Raw genomic sequence first — 18327 nt, 5'->3', positions numbered from 1 at the left:
GAATTTTAAAAAATACACAGAGACTTTTTTAAAAAAGTGACTAACATAACTAACAATGTACTTACTGAATAGACTGACAACATGACAAAGGTTCTGTTGCAAATGTTAAAAAGCTTCATGGCACAGAATGTGCAATAACAATACAAATAATGGTAATACTATAATTTAAAAGGCTAAAATTTTATCGACTGTTAGAAAGTAAACAACTGCTGTACCACAGAAGATGCTAGAAGCGGCAGTTTCTGTGTAAGATTTTTAAGCATTTCGTATATTGGGACACATTTCAAATAATGCATATTTCTTAAATATCTTCCTTACAATTTTAGAAAACAAATACAAATTCTCAAACGCTTAGTCTTAAAACAGTATATATGTCAACTAACACAATGAACCACTTTTAATTATTAGTTTTTAAAAAGATCAAATTCCACAACTTTCAGTTTACTTTTAATTAACTCGGAATACTGTTTCCCTAAGTTTTCAACAAACTAAGGAGTCTAAAAAATAGTAACACGCCAAGCAGCAAGGCTGAAATGAGTATGCGTTTAATTTCTGTAGTTTTGACAGAGGACCAAGAGGACCAAGTGGTCCAGACTTCAAGTCCGTTAGATGTAACCCAGACTATGACTTCAGGTGAAGGAAAGCACAGCTGCTTATAATTCTGTCTGCAGCCACGGCTCTCCAGACCTCCCTTCACAACTAGTCTCACGCACATTTTTAATGCTGACAAATACTTCTCGAGCCCAGGAGTCCTGAAGTGCTTGGGTTTCTACCTATGAGGATGTCGAGACCAAAGGTTCTTTTGTGTTAGGATTTATACTGCTCACTTCATAAAATTTTTAAAAATCATGTTTATTTCATCCTTTTTCTCCAGAAAGTGTCACTAATGTGTCCTCAAGGGTTTCAGATGCAGTTCAGTATAGCTTCTACGATGCAGTCATTTTAGGAGCATTATCAATGTATTAAAACTTTAGCACTGAGTTAGAAAATTCAAACTAAATATCCTATTCTCTTCTACTGAACTAATGTGAAAGGACCTCACTCTTGGAAGAAAAATCATTTAACAAAATTTACTTTTTCATAAGGCTCTTGGAGTGATGTTCAACTCATACATTGGTGGCATTACCTTTCCCATTCACTCAGAATGACCAGGAGGTGGTAAGAGCCCTTCCTGGTCAGGTGAAGGACCGGCAGCTGCACTGCAGACACCAATCTTGGATGACGGGACAACTGATGAAAGCATATGTCAATTTTGGTTCACTTCCAAGCAAAAGAAAAAGGCAAAGAGAGTAGCATGTTTCTGAATTTTCAGAGTGGGTGGAGCCAAGGACAGATTTTGGAATCTGGGACTCTGGTGGGCACCTGTGGATGGAGCACAAGGCGTCTGGGACACCAGTACCGCTCTGACATTGAGACTGAGGGCACAGGCTCACAGCAGCAGGCTGGCCTCTGCTCACTCCCCATCAGGATGCTGAGCCACAGTTCTGATCCTGCCTACTACTTACCATTGTGAATCATGTAGTGCAAAATTTGTTCAATCACTGACACCACATAGCTAGCATCTTGTAAAACAGGCAAGTAAGTATTCTCAGACGAAAATACTTCAAGCATTCTCATTGGAAGTGCAACATTCAAACTGTCATCATTACAGTTTTGCAGCAACCTGTAAAAATGAAAAAAGTATTCACACACTTACAGGATGGCAAAATGTCACCAGTTTCCCCAAGTTACTCTCAGTGACAATGGTTAAGAAACTATTCCAGTACAAGATTATCTCTGAAAATAGGGACATCTTACAGATAGACAGGGAAATCATCCAACTAACATTCAGTCATTCAGACAGTTTTTAAAAGAATTCTCGTTATGTGCCAAACGGTATGCTGGCACTAAGTTCACAGACAAGAAAAATGGACAGTGGAGAAATGAACACGAAAAATTAAAGATTACAAAACACTGTAAGAAGTATTATAATCCATGAATTGTACCAAGAAGCTGCATTTAATTAAACTCAGATACGAATCTCTTTAACAGTGCATCTCATCTCCTTAAAGATGCTTTTGAGACTTTCCACGCCTGCAATATCCCCCAAATAGAACAATGATATATTTCTGGTCCTAAGTCAACTCTCATTTTGACTGAGGCTTCCCTTCTTACTATGAGAAGAACTGCAGGTTAACTATCCGTTTAGAGAGGGCAGCACAAGCAGTCGGGCAGGCCGCACCAATCAAGACACAGAGCACATCTGCCACTCCCGAAAGTTTCTTCTTGGCTGTCTCTAGTCCACTCCTCCCTCTTTCCCCCCACCCCAATCCTTTTTTCTATCAAAAACTTTGTCTAACACCGAACTTATTTTTAGATTTCTCCTGTTGCTTTCACAAGGTATTTTACAGCTGTTTTTCCTTTTTCTTAAAAAAAAAAAAAAACAGAATCCATCTGACCACACATCACCTTTAATGAGGGACCCAGGAGGCTGTTTCAATGCCTCACTGAAACTAACTTCTCTATGTGACAAAAGCCTTCTGCCCTGCCAGGAGGGGAATAACGTGCAGGGTTCTGGGTGGGGTGTGTCTACACGGCTTATCCGCTTACCGCAGGCTGCCTTCTGTCTCAACAGCCGCAAAGCCCAGGAGAGACAGGGGGTGAGGACCCAGCGGGCAGGCTGGGCAGGACACCCAGCCAGACCTTGTTTTGTCTTTGCCCTTTTCACAACTTTCCCCTCAGCACCACACTGGTGTCTCTCGAGGGGTGTACGAGTGCAGGAGGAGCGGGGCTACACATAACAAGCCGCTGGGACGCAAAGGGCAGCGGCGGGCGGTGGGAGAGCCTCTTGTCAACCTGGAAAAGTCAGCAGCATGTGTGCTGATAATCCCATGTGAGAGGTAAACCTGATAATGCAACAGAGAGAAGTGCTGGAACGGTGCCTCGTGTGAGAGACAACATAGGATGTAGCTCCAGGTTTATCGGGACAGCCTTGGACGGGAAAAGGATATCCATATTGTCAAGAGACAACCCACCTTAAAAAATGAAGTAAAAGATTTGAACAGACTCTTGAAAAAGAGCCATCTGAGTGACCAGTATGCTCCTGAGAAACACCCGTCATCATTAGTAATCCAGGAAATACAAATTCCAATCACAATAAAATACAGCTACACACCCATCAGAATGGCTGGGTTTTGACAAATGTCAATACCAAGGGTTCAGGATATGGAGGAACTGCGCCTCTCCTATGCTGCTGTCCTAAGTTTGGTAGTTTCTTCTAAAGTGAAATATATAACTACTATGTGACCCAGTGATTCCATGACTTCAGAAATGTTCAACGGCATTAAAAAATATGTATGTGATTAGTCATAAAAGGAGCTGCAGGTGGTTCTGGAAGGCCACATTTACAGAAAAAGAAAAATTCAATGTTCTGGCACGTGGCAGATAAGACTGTCGACTTACTAACATACACTTGAAGTACAATTTCTAACATTTACATTTTGTTAAAATTCCATTTCTCATCAAAAAGAATCAGTGCTCCTTAGAGAAAACAGCCCCAGGCCTGGGGCAGAGAGAGCACTTAAGGCTTTGTGACCTCACAGAAAACAAAGATCTCTCAAAATACAAATGAGGCCAAGCCAAGAAAAACGGGCTGCTTACAGGGTGCTCTCTACCTATAAGCAGACCATTAAAAGTCATCTGTCACACACTGTATTTTAAAAAATACATGAGACCTTACTGAGATTAAAGAGGAAAGATGAGGAGGAGTGTTTTCTTGTTGTTAAAGAAACATGGGTTTGGCTGGGCACGGTGGCTCACGCCTGTAATCCCAGCACTTTGGGAGGCCAAGGCAGGCGGATGACCTGAGGTCAGGAGTTTGAGACCAGCCTGGCCAACATGGCAAAACCCCATCTCTACTAAAAATACAAAAATTAGCTGGGCGTGGTGGCACGTGCCTGTGGTCCCAGCTACTTGAGAGGCTGAAGCAGGAGAACTGCTTGAACCCAGGAGGCAGTGGTTGCAGTGAGCCGAGATCACGCCACTGCATTCCAGCCTGGGTGACAGAGCAAGACTCTTATCTCAAAAATAAAAATAAATAAATAATAAAAAAAGAAACATGGTCTTGCTCTGCTGCCCAAACTGGAGTTCAGTAGCACAATCACAGCTCACTGCAGCCTCGAACTCCTGGGCTTCAGGTGTTTCTGGTATTAGAAATTTTTAAAAATAAAAGTTGGGAAAAGAATAATTATATTTACATATATCATGTATCAAAATTATTTGCTTATACAAATACATTCAAAAGTTACGTTAAAGGTGTTTTGCAAACTACAACCCACAGGCCAAACCAGCCCTAGGGCTGTTTTTTGTACGGCTGTTGAGTGAAGCATGATTCCTTTATTTTTAAAGAGTTGTAAGCAAAAGGCAAGAAAAATACATAATAGAGACCATATGTGGACCACAAACCCTAAAATATTTGCTATCTCGCCATTTACATAAAAAGTTTGCAAACTCCTGCTTCACAAAAAGAATGTATACAATGTGTTTTTCAAACTAAAAGTTTATTAAAGAAATAAGTTAGAAAAAATATGAATTACTGGCATCTAGGATCCTCTTGGTTCTCTCTTCTAATAGGTTCTTTATTCCTACCTTTGGTCCAGCTAAGTATTTTGGAAAAATCAGTTAATAAAGACTAGTTCTGACAGTAATCCTAAACAAATATTACAGACAGTGTCCAGAAAATTAAGTGAAATTATATGGAAGGCTCAGGATCATTTGAAAATTTTACTACAGTTGAGATATAAGCAATTTATTAAAAGCTGGTAAAGGTGTTATATTCAGGTAATGTAACTCACATCACTTACACGTGTTCTTTCGGACACTGAATGCAAGAAAGTCACGGCAGTGGCTTATGCTGCGTTCCTACATAAATAATAAAAAGCCTGATGAAAGGTGTATTCTAAAGATGGGGCTTTCAAACTGCATTTTGGTGGAGACCCCTATGGAATGGAATCATTCTCACACATCAGGAGTCCTCTTTTGGCTGGCCTTCCATTCTCCAGTAACCAGGATGGCCATCATTCACAAGATAATTCAAAGGCATCCGTGAAAGAAAAAGTCATCTGAAAGATACTGAATATGTGTCTTCATTTATACCTCATGCCGGCCTGAATCACCTACAGTAAAAATTGTAATATATACAGAAGTCCATGACCTCAAAAAAAAAAAAAAAAAAAAAGTATGGAAAAGCCACTGTCTCTGAAAATAAAAGTCAAAAGGTGTTCCCCTAGACAAGGTGATCAATACATTATATACGTTACTGACTTACAATAGAATTTTACCTGCAACAGAGGCTCATCAATCTTTTTATCTGAAATAAGCATGTAAGTCTCTCAGATCCATCCAACTGCTTGACAAACAGAGAGCTGTGTTTAATTAAGTTCTGATACAGCCATATCTGAAACAGCAAAACATAAAATATACAACTCTCAATGAAAATTTAATAGTTTGCTAATTTACATAATACCCCAAATTTCCTTTAGTGGCAATGCACATTTAATCAAACCTAATCAAAAGATGGTTAAGAAGTAAATATTCTAAGTCGGTTTTATTTAGAGGTATGTGCATTTTCCAGCCAGGCACAGTGGTTCACGTCTGTAACTTTGGGAGGCTGAGGCAGGCAGATCACCTGAGGTCCAGTTCAAGACCAGCCTGGCCAACATGGTGAAACCCTGTCTCTACAAAAAAATACAAAAATTAGCCGAGCGTGGTGGCACACATCGGTAGTCCCAGCTATTCGAGAGGCTGAGATGGGAGGATCACTTGAACTTGCGGGGTGTGGGTGGAGGTTGCAGTGAGCCAACATCAAGCCACTGCACTGCCTGGGCGAGAGAGAGAGAGACCCTGTCTCCAAAAAAACAAAAGTATTTGCATTTTCAATCTTAAAATAACACATCAGTATTAAATTACTAAATTAGTAACTAAAACAAAGTACACTTAAAGCTCATGTCAATCTGAAACAAAAATAGTTCACTTGCAAATATCAGAAATCTGTAATAAAAATATATGAGAAATACGGTATTTCTCATATATTAGGCATAAGTCTCATGCCTTAGCCTCCCAAGTAGCTCGGATTACGGGTGCCCGCCACCACGCCCAGCTAATTTTTATATTTTTAGTAGGGGCGGGGTTTGCCATGTTGGCCAGGCTGGTCTCGAACTCCTGGCCTCGAGTGATCCACCAACCTCAGCCTCCCAAAGCGCTGGGATTATACACGTGAGCCACCACCCTCGGCAAAGATAGCCTCTTAAGTGTAGCTAGTCATAAATACGCCACATAGCCTTGTCTTTGCCTATATTTTTAAGTAGTTTCTTCGACATTAACATTTCTTTGCCATAAAACGTTATTAAACAATGAAATTACCAACACAAAAGCACTCTGCATAATAAATTAGCGCATGTCTTAAACTGGGATGAAATAATTCTGAACTACTCCGAATATTAGTTAATTTGCCTACACACAGGCTTTCTCTTGAGGTGTTTGGAGCCACCTTGCCCACATTTTCTCAGGAATGAATAAGGTATGAATACTCCCTTCACCATCTGACATGTAGTTCGTCCTAAAATTTCTATTATCAGTTAACAAATAAGATGTAAAATAACTATACATTATATAATAGGACTGTTGGAAGAAGACTTTATCAAAAGATTCAAAGAAAATTAAGCAACTAAAAAGTGAGGCAATTAATTCCAGAATTAAACTATACATAAAATATAATCTTAGTACCATATTTGACTTAAAGTCGTAAGAAAAATTTTTTAAAAAGGAGGTGAGGAAGAAATAGCCATATATGTTGATTTTTGCATAGAATAACTTTGAAAACCCATCAAAAGTGGCATTATGCTTACTCCTAGAGTAGAAGGCAAACAATGTGAAGACTGGGGCAGGAGACATTTTCCCCTACGTTAAGATTAATTTATTGCTATCGCATCTATGCTTGAGAACTGAATCAACATTCAACCGCCCAGGCTGGAGTGCAGTCGCAGGATCATAGCTCACTGCAGCCTTGAATACCTGGGCTCAAACGATCCTCCTGCCTCAGCCTCCTAAGTAGCTGGACTACAGCAGCAAGCTACCGCAGCCAGCTAATTTATTTTTTGCTTTGTTTTACAGGTGGGGTCTGGTATTTTGGCCAGGCTGGTCTCAAACTCCTGGCCTGAAGGGATCCTCCCACCTCAGCCCCACAAAGTGTTGGTATTACAGGCCTGAGCCACTGTGTCCAGCCCACTTTTCTTTTATCCTTTTCCTGGACTGGTCTTATGACATTTAATTCTATTTCAGGTTTCAGAATCTGCACATGAGCAATTTGCTTGATATTTGCTCGAGGCCGAAAGTCAAATATGTTCATTTACCTCCAAGCTTTTCACAGATGGCTTCTGAAGCAAGACTGTGTAGCTACACCATGTCGTGACTGATGACTAAGATTGAGGACCTCACTCAAAGGCAATAGGTGCTCTGGAGAGACACCAATCGACATCTCACAGCACCTGCCTGTCTGTGCTCCTTGGTGATCTTGTAATCTACAAGATTAGAGTATGTGAGGCCAGGACATCCTGTTCCAGAAAGCAAGCCCGATTATCTGCCGTTGTACTATTCTGATTCTTTTTTTCAACAACTTCAGAAAGCAAGCCTGGAAAGAGCCTGCACTTAACTGAAGTCCAGAATGGGTAGATTCAACGGCTTTCACTGCCTCTCTAGACTGGCTCTCAGTTCCTTCTCTGCACGTTCTCGGTTTACAGAAAGTCTTCACCATGTTCCACCTTAGCTCAACTCTGGAGGCAATGCTGGGTTTTAAAGCCAAACACTAGAGGAATAATCATGTATTCCTTTGTCCGCTGTAATTAATTCAAGTAGGATCATTCTAGTAGGGATGGTTTGTAGCGAGGAAGACTTATTTTTCACTGTATACTCCCCTTTCATGCAATTTGAAATTTTTAACACAGATAAACAAAAATTTCCAAAAATAAATTATATATTTAACCTGGCTGGGTGTGGTGGTTCATGTCTGTAATCCCAGCACTTTGGGATGTCAAAGCAAGTGGATCACTTGATGTCAGGAGTACAGACCAGCCTGGCCAACATGGTGAAACCTGACTCTACTAAAAATACAAAAAAATTTAAGCTAGGGGTGGTGGCATAAGCTTGTAACCCCAGTTACTCAGGGCGCTCAGGTAGGAGAATCGCTTGAACCCAGGAGGCGAGGTTGCGGTGAGCTGAGATCGCACCACTACACTCCAGCCTGGGCGACAGAGTGAGCAAGACTCCGTCTCAAAAAGGAAAAAAAAAAAAGATAAATAGCATATTTAACCTAGGCCAGGTGCAGTGCTCATGCCTGTAATCCCAGCACTATGGGTGGCCGAGGCAGGTGGATCACCTGAGGCCAGGAGTTCGAGACCAGCCTGCCCAACATGGCGACATCCCATCTCCACTAAAAATACAAAAATTAGCTGGGCGTGGTGGTACACGTCTGTAATCCCAGCTACTTGGGATGCTGAGGCAGGAGAATCGCTTGAACCCGTGAGGCGGAGGTTACAGTGAGCCGAGATGATGCCACTGCATTCCAGCCTGGGTGACAGAGCAAGACTCTGTCTCAAAAAAAAAAAAAAAAAAAAAAAAAAAAAAAAAAAAAATATATATATATATATATATATATATAAAATATTTAAAAATGTATATAACCCAACAATTATATACAAATCTCTTAATATTCCTTGAGAAAATGGACAGTAACAAATTCCATTTTTTAAAAAAATTATTCTTCTATGCATCTGGTTGTATTTTCCACCATTAATACACACTGTTCCTCAGCACTGATAAGATCAACAGCCTACAAAATTTTAGAGAACTACGATTACATTTGGGATTTTTTTTAAAAACATGAGACCCTAAGGCTGGGCATGGTGGCTTATGCTTATAATTCTACCACTTTGGGAGGATGAGGTGGGAGGATCACTTGAGGCCAGGAGTTGGAGGCTAGCCTGGCCAACATGGTGAAACCCTGTCTCTACTAAAAATACAAAAATTAGCCAGGCATGTTGGTAACACGCCTGTAATTCCAGCTACTTAGGTGGCTGAGACACCACCGATTGCTTGAGCCCGGGAGGGGAAGGTTGCAGTGAGCCAAGAATGCACCACTGCACTCCAGCCTAGGTGACAAGAGCAAGGCTCTACTCCCTCAGTGCCCTCCCCACAAAAGAGACCCTAAATCATGTACAGTGGCTCACGCCTATAATTCCAGCACTTTGAGAGGCCAGGGAGGGAAAAATCACTTGAGGCTAGAAGTTCACGACCAGCCTGGGCAACATAGCAAGACCTCATCTCTACAAAAAAAAAAATTAGCCTTAACATTAACAAGGTGTACACACACCTGTAGTCCCAGCTACCTGGGAGGCTGAGGTGGGAGGACTGCTTAAGCCTGGGAATTCAAGACAACTGAGTAAGACCCCATCTCTAATATAATAATAATAAAATGTAAACACTGAGACCTTGTATTTTAGAGTTTGCAAGTAATCATGATGTGGTATTCAGGGTGCACGTCCCACTGACCTAGGCGTGCTGGCAACTGCTAAGGCTGTGTCAGGGTACATGATAGGTGGGCAAAATATTCTGCTTTTTAAATGCTTAAGGTTTTCCACTGCAAAAAATACGAAAAAGCCTATTTTTGGATACACATTTTTATGTGTATCAAATTTTAAGAGGTAAAACACATCACCACATAGGTAACCTCTCACAGCTAGCTGAGAAGTTTGCAAAGCCTGGATGCAGTGGAGAGCTGTTTAACTTTCTGATGAGAAGCCATTTCCACTTTAAACAAAAAAGCAGAACACGTGTAAACGAGGACAAGTGAAAATGTAGTTAACACTCACCAAACGTTTTGAGTCTTCATTTTGTTTGTAAAAAAACAGAAGCTGCCTTACCAAAAGGGTAAGGTTGGGGCCATTAGCAATGGGAAAAGCGCCCCCGGACTGTGACAAGGTAGCACAGCGATCAAATGCACTTCTTTGGATGGAATACTGGAAGAAAAACAAAACAAAATGACCCATAAATATAGTATTTGGACACACAATTCTTATGATGTAAATATACGTTGCTGTGTTTACAGGAATGGTGGAAATTGACAACGAAAACACCATTATCGGTCCTTGCTCACAGTTGAATTGTAGAAAAAAAATGGTTAAAAAGAAAAAAAAAAAAAAAAACCAGGCATGGTGGCTCATGCCTTTAATCCCAGCACTTCAGGGGGCCAAGGCAGGTGGATCACCTGAGGTCAGGAGTTCAAGACCAGCCTGCCCAACATGGCGAAACCCCATCTCTACTAAAAATACAAAAGCTAGGCAGGGCACGATGGCTCACACCTGTAATCCCAGCACTTTGAGAGGCCGAGGTGGGTGGATCACCTGAGGTCGGGAGTTCGAGATCAGCCTGGGCAACATGGTGAAACGCCATCTCTACTAAAAATACAAAAACATTTAGCCAGCTGTGGTGGTATGCACCTGTAGTCCCAGCTACTCAGGAGGCTGGGGCAGGAGAATAGCTTGAACCTGGGGGCAGAGCTTGCAGTGAGCCAAGATCGTGCAACTGCACTCCAGCCTGTGTGACAGAGCAAGACTCTCTCAAAAAACAAAAAACAAAACAAAAACAGGCCAGGCGCAGTGGCTTATGCTTGTAATCCCAGCACTTTGGGAGGCCAAGGCAGGCGAATCATTTGAGGTCATGAGTTCCAGACCAGCCTGGTCAACGTGGCAAAACACCGACTCTACTAACAATACAAAAATCAGCTGCACGTGGTGGCACATGCCTGTAATCCCAGCTACTCGGGAGGCTGAGGCAGTAGAATTGCTTGAACCCAGGAGGTAGAGGTTGCAGTGAGCCGAGATCATGCCACTGCACTCTGGCCTGGGCAACAGAGTGAGACTCAGTCTCAATTTAAAAAAAAAAAAAAAGGATCTCTCATGACTTCCTTCTATTTTGATTTTCAACTGTGGTGAGGCCCATGTTTGTATTTTATTATTTAAAAATTACCTAAAAACTCACCTATCTATAAATCTTCACAATAATTAGAACAAATAAAATTATTTATTGGGAAGAATACTACTGTCAGCATTGACTTCAATTAACAAGGTGTACAAAGATACCATATTTAAAATAAGCTCTCCCATGCCCTACTAATCTCCTCATTTTAAAACAAACTTACTTGCTGTTTTCTGTCTCTATAGCCTCGAATAAATGACTGGATAATTATTGCATTTTTCAACCTTCGCCTTTCTTCCTAAACAATAAAAGGAGGAGTGAGGGAGCAATTGGTCAGAATCCAGTGAAAATGACATTTTGCTAGTAAAGACTTTAAAAACACTAACAGCTATGTAATTCACATACCATAAAATTCATTCTTTAAAAGGTAACACCCACTAAATATGCATTTAATATATTAAGAGCTATGCAACCATCACCACTGATCTTAGAATACCTTCATCACCACAACCAGAAGCCCCGTCTCCATTCGCAGTCACCCCCCGTTTCCTGCCGTCCCTTCTCTTGCCCCTGGCAATCACTCATCTACTTCTATCTTATGGATGTGCTTATTCTGGACACTTCATATAATGGAATCATACAATATGCTGTGTCTGGTTTTCTTCACTTAGCATGATGTTTTCAAGATCCACCTATGTTACAGCATATGTGAGAACTTCATTCCTTTTTAAGGCTAAGTAAGAGTAATGTTCCATTGTATGGATGGACCACGTTGAATTCCTCCATTCATCTACTGATGGACATCTGGGCTGCTCCCACTTTGGTCTATTATGAATTAAGGCTGCTATGAACATTCATATATAAGTTTTGTTGTGGATACAGGTTTTCATTTCTCTTGAGCATAAACCTAGAAGTAGAGTTATCATTGAGGAATTGCCACACTGTTTTCCAAAATGGCAATACCATTTTACAATCTCACCAGCATAGTAGGACCTTTTTTTTTTTTTTTTTGAGACAGAGTCTTGCTCTGTCGCCCACTTGATCTCAGCTCACTGCAAGCTCCGCCTCCTGGGTTCACACCATTCTCCTGCCTCAGCCTCCCGAGTAGCTGGGACTACAGGTACCCGCCACCACACCTGGCTAATTTTTTGTATATTTAGTAGAGACGGGGTTTCACCATGTTAGCCAGGATGGTCTCGATCTCCTGACCTCATGATCCTCCAGCCCTGGCCTCCCAAAATGCTGAGATTACAGGCATGAGCCACCGTGCCCGGCTAGCAGGACTTTTTAAAGTTTTAAATATTAAAGGAATACAAGCAGACAACACCAGCATCTATTTTAAAGGTCACTTTCTTGTTTCAAGAGAAAATTCCAATTTTCATTGACTTGAGAGTATCTTTAAAATGTTCAGCGACCTGGCAAAAATATGCGTTCTTCATCATTGTTATGACCAGTGCTACTGCTGTTGGACAGCCTACTACTATGTGCCAGCCCTATGAGAGGCACTTTAGGCCAGGCATGGTGGCTCATGCCTGTAATCCCAGCACTTTGGGAGGCCGAGGCAGGAGGATCACAAGGTCAGGAGATCGAGACCATCCTGGTTAAAATGGTGAAACCATACCTCTTCTAAAAATACAAAAAATTAGCCGGGCATGGTGGCGGGTGCCTATAGTCCCAGCTACCAGGAGGCAGAGGCAGGAGAATGGCGTGAACCCGGGAGGTGGAGCTTGCAGTGAGCCGAGATCGCGCCACTGCATTCCAGCCTGGGTGACAGAGTGAGACTCCGTCTCAAAAAAAAAAAGAAAAGAGAGAGAGAGAGGCATTTTATATACAAATGCACAGTCATCTTACAGGTGAGCATCACTTCCAGTTTAAAGATGCAGAAACTGAGACTGCTATAAAAATTAAGCAACACCCAAAGATGTAAAGCAGAATTCAAACTCAGGTATGATAATAAAGCCTGTACTCCATCTCACCATACTACCTTGTTTCATGTCTTCTATGAATGCCATCTACAAAGCTGAGACTAACACACACACTGTGGGATTCAAGAACACCATCAGGTCATGTAGATGTAGTTCCTGGGCTTGAAATGGTTATAAAAAAATCCTGTGAGGTCGGGCATGGTGGCTCATGCCTGTAAACCCAGCACTGTGGGAGGCTGAGGTGGGCAGATCACTTGAGGTCAGGAGTCCCAGACCAGCCTGGCCAACATGGTGAAACTCCATCTCTACTAAAAATACAAAAAATTAGCTGGGCATGGTGGTGCACGCCTGTAATCCCAGCTACTTGGGAGGCTGAGGCAGGAGAATCACTTGAAGCCAGGAGGTGGAGGTTGCAGTGAGCTGAGATCATGTCACTGCACTCCAGCCTGGGTGACAGAGCAAGACTTTGTCTCAAAAACCACCACCACCACCACCACCACCACCACCAACAGGAAAAAGCGACTTTCACCAGATGCACATGGCAATGTAAGGATGCTGGAAACATGAAAAAACAAGGAAATACGACATCTCCAAAGGAATACAATAATTCTCCAACAATAGATTTTAATCAAATAGAAATTTTGAAAATCTCAAATAATTCAAAATATTGATTTTTTTTTTTTTTTTTGAGACGGAGTTTCACTCCAGGCTGGAGTGCAACAGCGTGATCTCAGCTCACCACAACCTCCGCCTCCCGAGTTCAAGCAATTCTCCTGCCTCAGGCTCCCGAGGAGCTGGGATTACAGGCATGCGCCAGCATGCCTGGGTAATTTTGTATTTTTAGTAGAGATGGGGTTTCTTCATGTTGGTCAGGCTGGTCTCGAACTCCCAACCTCAGGTGATCGGCCTGCCTCGGCCTCCCAAAGTGCTGAGAATACAGGCGTGAGCCATCGCGCCCAGCCCTCAAAATATTGATTTTAAAGCTCAGTGAGATACAAGGGAATTCTGAAAAATACAAAGAAGTCAGAAAAATAATTCAGGATATAAGTGAGCAACTTACCAAAGAGTAAGTATTTTTAAAAAGAATCAACTAGAAATTCTGGAAGTGAAGAATTCATTTAAAGAAATACAAAATACATTTGAAAGCTTCAAGACAGACTAATCAGGCAAAAGAAAGCATCTCAGAACTTGAAGACAGGTCTTTTGAAATAATCCAGCCAGACAAAAATACAGAAAAAAGAATGAGCAAAGCATTCATGACATTTGGGATAACATAAAGCAATAAAATATTCAAAGTATTGGTAACACCAAGGTCAAAGAGTCAAAGAAAGGATTAGGAAACCTATTTAATGAAATAATAGATGAAAACTTCCTGTCTCACAAGAGATTTAGACACCTACATACAGCAGACTCAACGATCTCCAAGCAAATAATCAGACTATCTAAAGTCAAAGATAAAGACTGAATTCTAAAAGCATCAAAAGAAAAGCAGCTAGTCACCTATAAAGGAAACCCCATCAGATTAAAAATCAAGAAGACAAACAATAGAAACAAACCCCACGGAAGATCCAATTACTGGAGTTTAAACATTGTCTTAAAAAATCTATAATTATGTTCAAGAAATTAAAAGAGAACTAAAGACTATATAAAAGAATGAAAGAAAATTCTAGAACTGAAATAACAAAAACTGAAATTACGAAGTCAATGGATGTATTTAACAATTAGGCAGCAGGGTGGCTCACGCCTGTAATCCCAGCACTTTGGGAAGCTGAGACAGGCAGATCACTTGAGGTTAGGAGTTCAAGACTAGCCTGCCCAACATGGCAAAACCCCATCTCTACTAAAAATACAAAAAATTAGCTGGGTGCGGTGGCGTGCACCTGTAGTCCCAGCTACTCGGGAGGCTGAGGCAGGAGAATCGCTTGAACCTGGAAGGCGGAGGTTGCAGTGAGCTGAGATCGTGCCACTGCAGTCCAGCCCGGTTGACAAAGTGAGACTCCACCTCAAAAAAAAAAAAAAAAAAGTCAATGCTAAAGAGATCAGCTGTAAATCAGAAATTAGGTCAGGTGAAAATATCCAAACTGAAGCAGAGATATTCAAAAGGATAAACACAGAGAAAAGCACATGAGGGAAATATGGGAAACGACGCAAAGGTCAAAAACATTTACAGTTTGCGTCCAAGTAGGAGAGGAGGAGAAGAATGAAGCAAAAGCACTAATGGAAGAGATAATGGCCGAGAATTTTCCATAAAACAAGATTAAAAACACCAACCAACAAATATCTTTCTTGGTTGAGCAGTGCCCTCCCTGGGACATTTGGTAGTTTCTGGTGACATTTTTGGTTGTCACAACTGAGGTAACGGAGTGCTACTGGCATTTAGTGGGTAGAGGCCATGGGTGTTGCTAAACATCCTCCAATGTACAGAGCAGTTCCCCCCAACAAAGAATTATCTGTTCAAAAATGTCAGCACCAAGGTTGGAAAATCCTGCCTAAACTCTTTTCACTGTAACCACCTCAGAGAGCCCTTCCCCTAAACACCATCTCTAATATAGGCCCTTCCAGCTGTAATCACATTACTCTGTGGCCCTCACAGGTTTTGTCACCACCTCAGCATCCTGGTTCACGGCAGGAACCTTGTCTGTCTTATTCACTATCTGTATACCCAGCAAGCAGAGCAATACCTAGTACATACATAGTAAGTTCTCAATAAATATTTGTCAGGGGCCTAAATGAATTGTTAAAATAACAAAACAAAAAACTCTACCTAAAAAAGCAGGTCATAAGATAGTACAATTGCTGATTAATCAACAAAATAAAGCTATTTAAAGAAACTATCACAAGATATAACGTAGGATAAACAATAAAAATGTCATTAGTGTCTTTCTTTTACCTTCTTCACAAACAGTTAAGACACATGTCTTAACAGTGAGCTTTCTCCTTATGCTTCATGAAACATCAACATCATCAGCCAGACGAGGCAGTTCACGCCTGTAATCCCAACACTTTGGGAAAATGAGGGAGGCGATTGCATGAGGCCATAGTTTGAAATCAGCCTCGGCAGCAAAGCAAGACCCTATCTATGTAAAAATCTTAAAAATTAGCTGGGCATGGTGGCATGCACCTGTAGTCCCAGCTACAGGAGGCTAGAGCAGGAAGATCACCGAGCCCAGGAGGTCAAGGCTACAGTGAGCTATGATCTTGCCACTGCACTCCAGCCTGGGTCACAGAGCAAGACTCAGTATCTTAAAAAAAAGAGAAGAAAAAGAAATATGAACATTATATTTATAATACGGCTTTCTAGATCTTCTGGAAACCATATCATTATGTAAGTCAACCAAAAGCCCATGTTCCTTCTCCAGTCTGGAAACTGCCCTTTTAGTCCATCTCTTTCTACACCGGCTCCAGAATAAATGTTTCTAAAGCTAAACACACATACACACACATTCTGTCATATATAAAAAATACATACACACATACATATATACAGTAAAACCAAGGCATGTTTAAATGCTGTAGAAAAAATGCTTATCTACAGAGTATTACAAAACTGTTTTTACCTCTCTCTTTCTTCTTTCTTCCTGAGTACGATGTAAAAGAGAAGCCTTTTCCTCCTACACCCAAACAGAGAAAAAAGGAGGTAAGGTTATAATTTCAATTTTAAAACTCCCATACAAAAATTACAGAATGTTTTCACCCAAAAAAAGATCCTAAAGATCATCCAAACAAGCTGTCTTGACTTAATCAGATGAGAGAATCTGAGGCACAAGAAGTTAAATGGTTTCCCAGAGGTCACTAGATATAATACAAGTTAGTACTTCAGTAGTTTTTTAAGCATAAAATCTGATTTCTTCACATATACAAATGAGTACAGGTAAAACTGGGGAAATGTTGAGTAAGACTGGTGCTCCGTACCAATGTCAGAGTTCTAGCTGTGACATCTTACTAGCTTTGTAAAATATTACCCCAGAGGAAACTGGGTGATGTGGACAGGGGTCTCTGGGTATCATTTCTTTCCTTTTTTTTTTTTTTTTTGAGATGGAGTCTCTCTCTCTGTCGCCCAGGCTGGAGTGCAGTGGTGTGATCTCGGCTCACTGCAAGCTCCGCCTCCCGGGTTCACGCCATTCTCCTGCCTCAGCCTCCCAAGTAGCTGGGACTACAGGCGCCCGCCACCACGCCCGGCTAATTTTTTGTATTTTTTTAGTAGAGACGGGGTTTCACTGTGTTAGCCAGGATGGTCTCGATCTCCTGACCTCCTGATCCACCCGCCTCGGCCTCCCAAAGTGCTGGGATTACAGGCGTGAACCACCGCGCCCGGCCATCTCTGGGTATCATTTCTAACAGCTGCATATGAATCTACAATTATCTCAATAAAAATTTCAATGAAGAAATCAATTTCTTTGATGAAAATTTTTTTTCATAAATAAAACTAAGTTTTGAACAAAATGACTTGGTTTGTAGAAGGAAGTGAAAGAATAAAAGGAAAACTTCAAATAAATGAAAAATACTTAAACAGAACCCTCTTCTCCCCCAAAGACTGTTCCAGTCTTTAGTGTATGGACATTTTATTTTTGTAAATTTCATCCAAAATAAAATTAAAGGTCCAGGCTGGGCAAGGTGGCTCATGCCTGTAATCCCTGCACTTTGGGAAGCCAAGGCAGGAGAATCACTTGAGCACAGGAGTTTGAGACCCTGCCTCTACAAAAACTTTTTAAAAATAGTTGGGTGCAGCAGTATGTGCCCGTAGTCCCAGCTACTCAGGGGGCTGAGGTGGGAGGATCACTTAGGCCCAGGAGGTCAAGGCTGCAGTGAGCCAGGATTGAGCTACCACTCTCCAGCCTGAGTGACAAAGCAAGATCCTGTCTCAAAAAAAAAAAAAAAGTTCAAGATTGGAGACACTATATATGAATCATTACAAAAAAATAAATTTAGGCTGGGCACGGTGGCTCACGCCTGTAATCCCAGCACTTTGGGAGGCCGAGGCGGGCAGATCATGAGGTCAGGAGTTCGAGACCAGCCTGGCCAACACAGTGAAACCCCGTCTCTACTAAAAATACAAAAATTAGCCGGGCATGGTGGCACATACCAGTAGTCCCAGCTACTCGAGAGGCTGAGGGAGAAGAATCGCTTGAACCCAGGCAGTGGAGCTTGCAGAGAGCCAAGATCACGCCACTGCACTCCAGCCTGGGCAACACAGCAAGACTCCGTCTCAAAAAAGAAAAAAAAATTAAATATCTTAAGAGATATACTTTATCAGAACAGTGTCAGAGAGTAGTTAAGCCAACTTAAAATTATACACTGATACATGAACTAACAATATTCAGAATCAAAGTTTCTATCCTTTTTTTCTAAATTGAGACAGAGTCGTGCTCTGTCACCCAGGGCTGGAGTGTAGTGG

General features: G+C 41.4%; 1 protein-coding gene across 4 annotated transcripts in view; it reads right to left on the bottom strand.

Moving 5' to 3' along the window:
• The window catches only part of UBE3C (ubiquitin protein ligase E3C), a 130445-nt gene that overhangs the window by 89018 nt on the left and 23100 nt on the right, over positions 1 to 18327 (bottom strand). For 3 of the 4 annotated variants that reach the window (NM_014671.3, XM_047421073.1, XM_047421072.1), the window contains exons 2-6: positions 16490 to 16543; positions 11231 to 11305; positions 9903 to 10049; positions 5319 to 5434; positions 1506 to 1663 (exon numbers count right to left, since the gene is read on the bottom strand). In NM_014671.3, the coding sequence (NP_055486.2) occupies positions 1506 to 1663; positions 5319 to 5434; positions 9903 to 10049; positions 11231 to 11305; positions 16490 to 16543 (550 nt within the window). The remainder of the gene's footprint in view (positions 1 to 1505; positions 1664 to 5318; positions 5435 to 9902; positions 10050 to 11230; positions 11306 to 16489; positions 16544 to 18327) is intronic. The other variant, XM_005249564.5, reaches the window with a different exon arrangement.

Source organism: Homo sapiens, chromosome 7, assembly GCF_000001405.40.
Source record: "Homo sapiens chromosome 7, GRCh38.p14 Primary Assembly".
NCBI classification, from domain to species: domain Eukaryota; kingdom Metazoa; phylum Chordata; class Mammalia; order Primates; family Hominidae; genus Homo; species Homo sapiens.
This window is presented reverse-complemented; position numbering and strand designations above follow the sequence as displayed.